Genomic DNA, 12,083 nt, shown 5'->3' with positions numbered 1-12,083 from the left:
TGAAAAGATCTCATTCTAAAATCTGTTTAACAGATTTGTGCAGCAAAAGAGTTGTGTGGGTTAAAATTAAAGGAGAGTTTGAAAACTAAAGCCATCCTTGCTAGGATGGCTGCCTCTGCGTTCAGAAACCCCCTTTTATCATGTTTAGTGAATGTTCATCCCTTAATTTAAAAATGGGAGTTGAGATGCCTTTCAGAGCTACCGCAAATGACCACATGTGTTTAATGGCCAGTTGGGAGTTAAACATATCCGTATTCTGTATGTGATTCACCAGAAAAATCACACCGGATTACGCAAGAAGGACCCGTCCCTCTACCCAGGGTTCTCTGAATCAAGGAGAAAGAGGCTTACAAACTCCTGCAATTAAGAAGAAGGTGGAAATTGGGTTTGGGGTACCTTGCTCGTATCAGTCAGGTTCCCAAAGAACTATCTGACGCTCCTCTTTTAACCACACTGACCTGGGCCTAGCTTCCCTAAATATGTTGCCTCAACCCCTGGTTTGAGACATCAGGAAAATGAATGAAGACATAAAATATGTTGGACTTTGGGAAAATAAGTGTCTCTGTGTATTCATTTGCTAGTGCTGCCATGACAAAGGACCACAGACCACATGGCTGAAACGACAGACACTTATTCTCTCCCAGTTCTGGAGGCTGGAAATCCGAGATCAAGGTGTTGGCAGGGTTGGCTTTTTCTAAGGGGTGTGAGGGAGCCCCTGTTCTGGCCTCTCTCCTGTCTTCTGGTGATTTGGTGGCCATCTTTGGGGCTCCTTGGCGTGCAGAAGCATCACCCTGATCTCTGCTTTTATCTTCCCATGGCGTTCTCTTTGTATCTGTCTCTGTGTGCTCACATTTCCCTCTTTTGTAAGGACTGTAGTCATATTAAGTCAGGGGCCCACCCTGCTCCAGCATGGCCTTCCCCTGACTTACTACATCTGCAATGACTCTAGTCCCAAAGAACATCATGTTCTGAGGTTCTGGGGGTTTTAGACCTTTAACAGATGAATTTGGATGTGAGGGCACAACTCAGCCCTTAATACTGGATTGCAAGAAAATTTCGACATGGGCTCTTGGGCATAGGGAGGGAGGCCACGATGAGATATTTTGGGTAGAGTCTAACAGGTTGATCTATGCCTGTTGAACGTTACTTTGAAAGTAGAGTTCCATTTGGTTAAGACACATGCGATTGAGGAGCTGCTCTCCTGACTCATGAACATGGGGCCATGGAAAGGCGCAGCTTGGCCACGCGAGGAGTCAGCGTTGCTGTGTTATGGGGAAAGCGTAACCCATGGTTTATGGTAGATTAGACTGGGGATCTCAAAGCGGATGGGAGTGGGAGCAGAGCACATACTGCCTCCCAGAGAACAATGTCTGGAGACATTTTGGGTGGTCACTACCGGTGGGGGGTCTAGTGGCATCCAGTGGGTGGAGGCCAGGGGTGTGGCTAAACGTCCTGCCCTGCACAAGACAGCCCCACAGCAAAGAATCTTCCAGACCAAGATGACCACCGGGCTGAGGTTGAGAAACCCTGGAACCGAGACCCCCGACTCTGCCCTCCCCCCAAATTAAATCTGCAGTGAAATTAAAAGGGAGATGAAGTTAAGCAGGTTTAATAAGAATGATAGCCTGGAATGGGAACTTAGGAAGTCTTTTACCACATTACCTGAATATGGTGGGGGAAATAGAAATTCTACCTGCAATAATACTTTGCCTTTAGAACACATTTTTGCCTCCGTCTGGGAGAGTTGTCATTCCCAGATCTCAGATTAAACAAACCCTGGACTTTGGCCGTGTGTTGTGATTGAGTGGCAGCTCTGCCGCTGACCAGCTGTCTGCCCTTAAGCAAATCACCCCCTGCTCCCATTCTCAGTTTCCCTCTCTGTAAACTGGGGGCAGAGTGAGTTATAAGAGCAAATGCCTCATGGGTGCAGAGCATGTCCTAAACAACCCTTCGAGGCAGGTGTTACCGTTGTTCATTTTATGGAAGAAAATTCGGAGGCCTTGAGCAGTCAAGTAGCTTGCTCGAGGTCATCTGGTTACAAAGTGCTAGATCTGGGATCTAAATACCTGCTAGCTCCCAGGTTGACACAGTCATGGTGTGGCTTCCAAGCCAGCACCCTTAGTCTCTACAGCATGTGGTCTCACGGAGCTCCAGGGAGTTAAAGAACTAATGTGAATTAGGTACGCCTGTCAGTGCCCTGCACGCAGTCCCAGCCCACCCTTAACAAATGGGAATCGTGTTTTTTAAGAGAGCATGAGGTTCCCCATCGCCAAGGTGTAGGATCAACCTAAGTGTCCCTCAGCGGATATAAGGATAAAGAAATGTGGTGTATATACACAGCGGAGTACTATTCAGCCATGAAAAGAAGGAAAGCCTGTCATCTGCCCTTACCTGGATAAACCTGGGAGACACTATGCTAAGTGAAATAAGCCAGGCATTGAAAGACAAACGGCACGTGATCTACTCATAGGCGAAATCCAAAAAAGTCGAACTCACGGGGGCAGAGAGGAGAATGATGGTTACCAGAGGTTGGGGCCAGGGCATGGGGTAGGGGGTGGGGAGCTGTTGTTGGAAGGATACAAAATATCTATTAGGTGGAATAAATTCTAAGAGAACTGCCTGTGCAACATGGTGCCTATAGGTAATAGCAATGTTTTGTATATTTGAAAATCACCAGGAGAGTCGATTTCAAATCTTCTCACCACAGAGAAATAAGGAGATTGACACATTAATAAGTAGGATTTAATTATTCCATAACATAAACATATATCAGAACATCACATTGTACCCCATAAATACATACACTTATTGTCTATTAAAAATAAAATCTAAAAAACAAGGTATTGGCATAAGAGAAGATAAAATCATCAGAAGTTGAGATTATGAAAATATAGACTAATAAGCTTTTAAAAAAGAGGGAGAATGTGAGTTTCTAACCTACTTGACAATTTCAATTTCATGACCAAGTCAATAAATTACTTGGAAGTATATAGTGTTTGTTAACAGCAAATGTCATTTAACATTTTAGCAAGGAAAAGTGTCCCCTTGGAAGCGGATTAGAAACACAGAATTGCAAGCTCCTCCCTGGACATAGCAGGTCATCATCACCCTTTTCACAGGGGATTCAGATGCCCTTGCAGGTCTTGGATGCGCTGCTGGGACCAGCCCTTCTCAAGGGGGCCGCCTGGCCTCTGACTGCACACCCAACCCTGTGAGTGACACCACAGGCTGGCTGCATTCTCGGTCTCTTCCCTTTGTCTCTGGGGCTCTCCCTGCTGACCTAACAGCGTGCCTCATTCTTTTTTGGGTCCCTGGAGTCGGACTGAGCTGCACGGCTGCTGACGTACCCTTAGCCTGACTTGAGTGGAAGTAGCCAGCAGCTGATTTCTGTCTGTCACCATCACTGTGAGGAAGAAAATTTGCTCTTTCAATCTCAGGAAGTGCAAAGCCCAGCCCCACCCCGGCAGCTGTGTGTGTTTGCAGAGAGAGGTGTGTCTGTTGGTGATCATAAAATATTATGATCCCATATGTCCAAAATGATCATAACTGTGGAAATGTTTATTTCCAGATTTATCTGCCTTCTAATTGTTAGGGTGTTATTAGCAAGCTCTTCTCCGTGAGACAATGAGGGGAGAACTTGAGTGGATGCTGTCAGCTAAAAAAACCGGCAAGAATGACCCCAGGAAAAGTCAGCCTGCCATTGCATTTTGTTGTTGTTTCATTCCTGGGTGAATAGAATCAAATCATGGTTGTCATAACCATAGTAATCATTACAGCTCATAATCACTGAGCATTGATTCTATGCCAGACGTGAGTCTGAACACTGTCTTAAGCACATATTTCCTCTTATTTGCTTGTTTATTTCCTTCTGCAACACAATGAGGTGGACACTATTATCGCCCGACTTTTCAGGTGAGGAACCGGGGTCGCAGGAGCCAGGAGTAAGTAACTTGCCGAAGCCACAGCTGCTCACTGGGAAGGGGCAGGAATTGGAGCAAGGCGCTTTGACCCCAGGGTCTGTGGTGGTGTCTCTAGATGAAGGCGGGGCATCGAACAAGGTGACACTCTTGTCTACAGATAAGTACAGGAAAAAAGAGGATTTTAAAATATGTTTTTAAAAATCAATCTCCGCAGGTAGCTGAATTTGTCATCTATAGCTGTGACCTATTTGTCACCGATTGCTGTGTAATAAATTACAGCAACTCGGTGGCTTCAAACAACACACATCTGCTGTCTTGTGGTTTCTCTGGGTCAAGAGTTCGGGCACAGCTCAGCCAAGACTTCTGCTCAGAGTCCGTGGTGAGTCTGCCTAGGCATCACCTGGGGCTGCGGGCTTTGGAAGGGGCTTCTGCTTCTGAGCCCGGGCAGGGGGTGTTCCACATCCCAGCTCACCCCACTAGGGTGGGACCCGCCTCCAAGGTCACTCGCATGGCTGAGGGCAGGCCTGACTGCATTTTCAGATGGCCTGATGGGACACGGATGAGTTTCTTGGGCTGCTGGAGCAACTGGCAGCTTAGATAGAAACGTGTGGCGTGACAGTTGGGGGCTGAAGCTTGAGCTCCAGGGGCCAGCAGGACTGGGTCCTCCTGAGGCTGTGGGGGGCTCCACTGCAGGCCTCTCCCTGTCTCTGTGGCTGCCAGCACCCTTGGTACTCCTCGGCCTGTAGGTGCTTTACCCTTCTTTGCCCATCTTCACCTGGCATTCTTCCCGTGTGCAGCTCTGTGTGCAAAGGTCTCCTTTTGATAAGGACACAGGCATATGAGACGAGGGTCTGCTCTACTCCAGTATGACCTCATCTTAACTCCTCACATCTGCTAAGACCCTATTTTCAAACAAGGGCACATTCTGAGGCACTGGGGGTTAGGACTTTACATATGAACTTGGGGTCATGGACATAATTTAACCCATAACAGGATATGACCATCTTGTTTAGATCAAGAAGCCGAGATGCAAGACGTCTCTGCACCTACGCCCTAAGGGTGCACAGTGCTGGCTCACTTGCTCACTGGCCCGGTGCTCTGACCTTCTCCACATCTCATCCTGACCCCCTTCCTGCTCCTCTCCACACTGTTCCTGGGGGCTGCACTGCATACTTGGGCTCTAGCTGTCTGCTTTCCATTTGGGCTTGGCCAATGGTGATGGCACCATCTTGAGTTGGGAGGGTAGCAGGCGAGAAGGTGGGGAGCCTCCCCCGTCTCCATTCCTTCCTGGTGGGGTGTTTCCAGCAGCTGCACCTCCCTGCAAGGCTCCAGCTCCCCTGGCCTGGGTCTCCCCATGTGGGGGTCACCAGCTTCTCACAGTTGCTTGGTTGTCCATCCTGAGTGCCCGAGCGTCCCTGGCTGGACTTTAATTCTGCCCATGCCCCTCTACATTGTTCCTTGTCTAACTTTTCAGAATCCCAGCTGGAGGTTCTATCTGTTTCCAGACAGCACCCTGATTGGTACCACTTCCCGAGTTCCAATCATTTATCTTAGACAAATGGTAAGATAAAAATTATGCAAACAGTGAGAATGAATCATCGGTCTCTAGGGCTTCATAGAAACCACCTTGATCCATTGGATATGAATTTATCCTATGCAGGCCACATGAGGGGAAGGTCTGGGCCACAGTGCTTCTTATCCTGCAGCCGGCTAATGAAGATCCGGGCAGACAGAGTGCACGTTGCCAGGGTGGGCCTGCTGTGGAGTGATAAACAAAACAGAACAACAAAACTCTGCATTGAAAACACGGGTTTGCTTGACACCAGGAACACAAGTGCAGCAAGCCTTGACTCCCCGGTCAGAATCTAGCACAGTGCTGCTCATCCTGTTCATTTCCTCTCCTCCTCCCCGAAGTACGAGGGGGCAGAGGCTCACCTGCCATGCCATGTGGTTGCCATGACAACCATGATGTTCCTGTCGGGTGCTGCCTCCTCTCCGTGCCTGGCGATGGGCCTGGCTCATTGAAATGTATTTCTGAGAGCCGGCCTGCACGGCTGCCTTTCATGATTATTGCTCAGAATGGAACCAGATGACGATTAACTTTTGCCAGGCATGGGGCATTATTTTCAAGGTCTCGGACAATCTCCCTCCTCTGGTACATGCAACTGGCTTTTGCACTAGCAGTTTCGTGTTTTAGCTGCTTTATCGAGAAATCCTTCTGAGGTCAAAGCCATAAAAACATCATAAAAATGCCTGCTATAAATCAGAGGTGAGGCGGTTGTTGAACAGCTTTCCTGTGCCCCGGATAGATCTTTTATTAGATTTTAAGACATTCAGATGGTTTTCTGGGAAACAAATGTATCTACACTTTTGTCACTTACCACTTCAATGTGTTTTTCTGTAATAATATAATCATATTTCTGTCTTCAAATGAGCCATGCTGTGTGTTCAGGCTTGCATTTATGGTGCTTGAGTTCATTAAGTGGAATAAAGTTCAGAGGCTAAAGTATAAATACTAAGGCCGTCTGTGTCCAGGACGGTGAGGGGTGCATCATGTGAGACCCACGCTGCTTCTCATTTTGACTAACTGCTGCCATAGCCAGGAGCCAACATGGGCTTTTGGAAAAGGCTTTTTATTATTATTATTTTTTAAATTTACCATTTTTTCCTGCGAGGGCTTTCTCCTGAATCTGATTGTTCAACATAAGCTGTTTTCCCGATTCATCTCAACAGAGGCAGAAGTTCACCACAGGGAGCTGATACAGGATAGTAGTTAAGCACCCAAACACTGGAGTCAGATCGCAGGGTTCAAGTCTTTTCTGTGTGACCTCAGTGAGTCTTTTAACTTGTCTTGGCTCTGTTTTTTCTCTCTAAGATGGGGATAATGATGGCACCTACTTCACAGAGTTATTCTGAGCTTTGAATAAATTAGTGTTTATAAAATGTTTAGAACAGCACATAAGTGAATTCAAATCTTTGCTAAATATTTAGGAATGCTGTTCAACGTTGCCTTTCCTGACAACTTCTCTTGTCTCTCTTTTCTCTCCATAAAATGGAAATAATGATGGCACCTGCTTCATAGTTCTTTAGAACTTTGAACAAATTAATGTTTATAAAATGTGTAGAACGGCACATAAGTGAATTCAAATATTTGTTAGATATTTAGGAATGCTGTTCAACAGTGCCTTCACTGACAACTTCTATTGTCTCTGTTTCCTCTCTCTAAAATGGGGATAATGATGACACCCACTGCATAGTTATTTTGAACTTTGAACAAATTAATGTTTATCAAATGTGTAGAGCAGCACGTAAGTGAATTCAAATATCTGTTAAATAAACATTTAGGAGTACTGTTCAACAGTGCCTTCACTGACAACTTCTGTTGTTTTTAGTCTGTATTCGTAAGCCTAAGTAACTGTCATTGAATTTGAGGGTGATGTTAGTAGGGTCACTTTATGAGGGCCGTATATTGTATCCATTTCATAACCACAAACATGAGGTTTCACACCTAGTTCAGATGCACTCTCTACCTGTTTGTGTTGGATCTCAGGAGAGTCATTAGGATGCTTGAATGAGGGGGCAGAATGCTAATCACTCCCTGGGCACTTCCTGTGTGCTAGGTACTTTAGCAAACGTTGAACTGAATTATGTCATTTAGGCCCCAGAAAAGCCCTCTGAGGTGCATAAGAATTGAGGAAACTGAAGCTCAGAGAAGTTGAGACTGGTCTAAGATCTCACACTTAGTGATGATGGGACAGGAAATTGAAGTCGGGATTCCTGTACCTGCTCCCAGAGTCCCTATTCTTTGCTATTACATATGCTTTCTCTCTCTTTTTTGTCTATAGTTAATTCACTGCTTCCCGAGATCAATGAGTTTACAGATGGTCACTCCTTGTGCTCCAAACTCGGAACACAGTTGGCTTGCAGTAAATGTTTGCTGGACCTAGGAATAAATATGTATTTCTTTCGTCCTTGGAATTTTTACTGTGATCCCATAAATCTAGAGTCCTTAATTCCAATACCTTCTCTATATTCTTTGAGGCCACCACCAACGAACTGAATTTAACTCTAGTTTCCTAACAGTTTCTCCATCTTTATGTAGAGTTTGGGGAGACAGAGATTTTAGTTCAAGTCCCAGAACTGCCACCTGGCAGCTCTATGTCTTTGGTCAAGTTATTTAATGAATCTATTAATTTTTTTCAAGACAAGGTTTCCCTCAGTTGTCCGGGCTGGAGTGCAGTGGCACAATCAGGACTCACTGTAGCCTTGAACTTCCAGGCTCAGGTGATCTTCCCAGCTCAGCCTCCCAAGTAGCTTGGAATACAAGCATGCACCACCACACTTGGCTAATTTTTGTATTTTCGGTAGAGACGGGTTTCTGCCATGTTGCCCAGGCTGTTCTTGAACTCCTGGGCTCAAGCAATCCACCTGCCTCGGCCTCCTAATTGTCAAGTTATTTAACACCTAGCATTCAAATTCTATATATTAAGATTGATATATTGACATATACATCTTGATATATTGATATATAAGGGATGATAATAATTATGCTCACATTATAGAGTTATTGTAAATGTTAAAGAGAAAATTTAGGGAAAGTGTTTAACACAGCAGCTGGCAGAAAGAGGCATTTGATAGGTGTTAATTGTTATAATAATAGTATGTGTTATTGTGTCCAGTGCTTCCTTGGTGTGGGGCTAGCCAGTCATATGTTGTCCTTCCCTTTCCTCCATGTTTTCCCTGAATCAGAGGTGATCTGTCCTATTTTCTTTTCTTTTCTTTTTTTTTTTTTGAGATGGAGTCTCGCTCTGTTGCCCAGGCTGGAGTGCAGTGGTGCGATCTCGGCTCACTGCAAGCTCTGCCTCCCAGGTTCACGCCATTCTCCTGCCTCAGCCTCCCAAGTAGCTGGGACTACAGGCACCTGCCACCACGCCTGGCTAATTTTTTGTATTTTTTAGTAGAGATGGGGTTTCACCATGTTAGCCAGGATAGTCTCGATCTCCTGACCTCGTGATCCGCCTGCCTCGGCCTCCCCAAGTGCTGGGATTATAGGTGTGAGCCACCACGCCCGGCGACCTGTCCTGTTTTCTCTGAGATAACTATTGCTGCAAAATGGAATGACCCTGGGTATCTCTTAATCAGCACCTTGGACAGTGCACAAGGCTCTGTCACCCTGGGATGTACACAATCTCACTTTTCTAATCAGTTTCTATGATCAATGCAGACAAAAGACTAACATGATCCTTTTTATCATGAATTTGTCTACTAATTTTTGTACTGAACTGGCAGAATGAACAAGCTGATTTGTTGTGAAAACATGACCTTGCTGCATGAATTTCTAGTGTCAGGACTAATGATGCTCATTTCCTGATCTGCTCACCAGCAGTTTTTAAGATGTCATATTTTAGTGGAGTACTATTTAGGGAAAGAACACTCTCATTATCATTTTAGCCATTATCTTGTCATTATTATTTCCTGTTATGTTTTAAACAAATCTTGTCCTAACTTATTGCAGTTATATAATTGTCTTGAAAAAGATATTAATGCACTAATTTTCTTTTATAAATTTATTTACTTTTCAAGTGACTTTTGGAAAGAAAACATGATTTGTCTTAAGGTAACTTTGCTTATGTGGTTATCACATGAAAAATATTTGGCTTCTTTTGACTGAGCCTGTATACACTGCCCACGGCCCTCTACCCCCTACTCTGGCTGACCAAAATTATTCCACAGAATGTGAATTTCATGATTTCTCCACTAAAACACATGAAGCAGTTGATATTCTTTCATTTATTAGAAGCTCTCTTATTGATTTTATGTCTGCCATGCCTTAGCATCATACTAGCGAATGCATCTTATAGATGTTAAAGCAGTTATGAGCCCAAGCAACCCATTATCTAATTTAATCCAATGCTGTGGAAACGACTTTAACATTGGTTTAACAATTCATGTAGTTAACATGGGATCTGAAATCACTGGATGCAGTTTTGTCAGTTTACACCTATTTTAAGCTCATAATTCATGATTTGCCACTAACATAATGTGAAACTGCAAGACTACATGGTGACTTGGGGATTTAATGTAGGAATCCACTTCTGTGGGATGACTGGAAGGCCCCTTTGTGGAAAAGAATTACCTCTAAGTGGAATTCTTCCTTGAGGCTTGCTCTGGGTCTTTGCAGCATTGGAGGGACCCACTGCAACATTACAGATGGAGTCCCTTCTCTTTCCTTGGGTTCCTATCTCACCTTGCTCTATCTGTGCATTTTCTTTTGTCAAGAATGCACAATTCTATAAATTGGACACAGGGAACTAATTATAGGCATGACAACACCCCTGTAATTCACTGTTGGACTAGCAGCCCTTGCCAAAGCAATAAGATAAGAAAAAAAAGAAATCTAAGAACAGGCAAAGAAGAAAATTATCATGATTTGCATTCTATATTTTTAAAAATAGCAAACTATGGGACATTTTTTTTAGATTAACATTTCTTTTTCATGCAACATCTGAGTGCCTATGGCCGTGTACCCATGAACACAGATAAGACAGATGAAGTGAGAAATATCTCACAAATCAAATCATGGGAAACAGTCTCTGGGTTTCTAGGGTGATAGCACAATTATATGAATTGTTTTCCTGCCATTTAAGCCCCTCTGATGCCAGCTTCTTTCCACCTTTCTCTACCATCATGACTGGCCAGGCTAGCTGGCAGAGATCCTGTTTTCCAGGTGTGGCTTGGACTTCCACATCTGGGGCTCTTGCTGGAGTCACCCTCCTTTTTGTAATTCCTGCTTCACTTGATTTAATCTTCTGAGAGTTAGGTCAAGTAGCATCTTTATTCACCTGTATCCAATCAATAATGAACATAGACCTGGTGATTATTGTGGGTCAGGTAATGTGGGATCAGCCATGAACAGCACATAGACACCAGCTTCTGGAAGGTGGTGCCACACATCATGTCACCACATTTTAGACACACAGGTGCTTGCTTTCCAGTTAATGTGCGGCACCCACTTTTCATCTCAGTAACTTCATGATTACTTATGTGCAGCTTCAAAAGTCACTTACAGTCCATAAATGTCATTTTAAAACTTTCTCTCTGTTTATGTCTCTGTTTTCCCAAGGAGACCATAAGCTCCCTGAGGACAGAGATTACCTTTTGTGTCTTTTAGAATCTCCCAGAGAACTTAATACATCACCTCAAGTGTAATAAGAAAACCAAATGTATCTGTTAAATCATGGATGAATTGGCAGAGGGCCATCCACATCATGTCTAATGACATGGCATTTTATAGTTTAATTTTTAACCTTTTTTCATTTTGCAGTACGTTTAGACTCACATAAACATTGCAAAAATAGGACATAGTTGTTCAGGAGTATACTCTTTACCCAGCTGACCCCAGTGGAAACATCATTCACCACCGTGGTACCATGACCACAGCCTGGACACCAACATTCACCCAATATAATTAAAGTACAGACGCCCTTCAGAATTACTTTCATTTGACTTTGAAGGTTTCAGCCTACTTTTGTCTTTGCTGTGTGATCATTTTTACCATTCAAATAAAAATGTTCCTGGGCTGTCTTTATGTTTTCAGGAGAAAGCTTTCTGAACATCATCACTTTTCTCTATGTGTATCTCTTAAATTGAAATATTTTGGGTGGAGCAAGTTGTAGGTCCCCTTTAGTCTGAGACAGAGAAATGGAACCTACATGAGCAGCATACAAAAGCCACAGTTGATGCAGTAGACATCCCTTCTCCCAGGACAAACACGCTCACTCATGGCCTTTCTCCTCCCATAGTTCCAATGTAGTCGATAACTACCCTTTGTTTTCAGAAGTACTTGAATTACATCAACAGCGTGTACTCAGTGAGATACAATCTCGCACCTGTCAGAATGGCTATTGTTAAAAAGCCAAAAAGTAACAGATGCTGGACAGATTGTGGAGAAAAGGGAACACTTGGACACTCTCAGTGGGAGTGTAGATTAGTTTAACATTGTAGAGAGCAGTATGGCGACTCCTCAAAGAGCTAAGAGCAGAAATACCATGGACCCAGCAATCCCATTACTGGATATATACCCAGAGGAATGTAAATCATTCTACCAAAAAGACACATGCGCATGAATGTTCATTGCAGCACTATTCACAGTAGCAAAGACAT

At 44.0% G+C, this 12,083-nt stretch overlaps 1 protein-coding gene across 35 annotated transcripts in view, besides 1 other annotated feature; it reads left to right on the top strand.

Annotated features, from left to right (window-relative positions):
• Positions 1 to 12,083, top strand: part of RIMBP2 (RIMS binding protein 2) — a 320,167-nt gene that overhangs the window by 154,435 nt on the left and 153,649 nt on the right. The window contains exon 3 of one of the 35 annotated variants that reach the window (NM_001393626.1): positions 3,913 to 3,941. The exons of the other annotated variants lie outside the window; for them this stretch is intronic. The gene's annotated coding sequence lies outside the window, so the exon portion shown is untranslated. The remainder of the gene's footprint in view (positions 1 to 3,912; positions 3,942 to 12,083) is intronic. 35 annotated transcript variants of the gene reach the window in all.
• Positions 5,404 to 5,573: an enhancer, noted in NCBI's record as "experimental_25887 CRE fragment used in MPRA reporter constructs". NCBI's record gives its function as "activates a minimal promoter by MPRAs in K562 erythroleukemia cells, with activity observed for both the introgressed and non-introgressed 12:131040922 variant alleles {active_cell/tissue: K562}" and the evidence as "EXISTENCE:reporter gene assay evidence [ECO:0000049][PMID:34662402]".

The sequence above is a fragment of the Homo sapiens genome, chromosome 12 (genome assembly GCF_000001405.40).
Source record: "Homo sapiens chromosome 12, GRCh38.p14 Primary Assembly".
Classification (NCBI taxonomy): Eukaryota; Metazoa; Chordata; class Mammalia; order Primates; family Hominidae; genus Homo; species Homo sapiens.
This window is presented reverse-complemented; position numbering and strand designations above follow the sequence as displayed.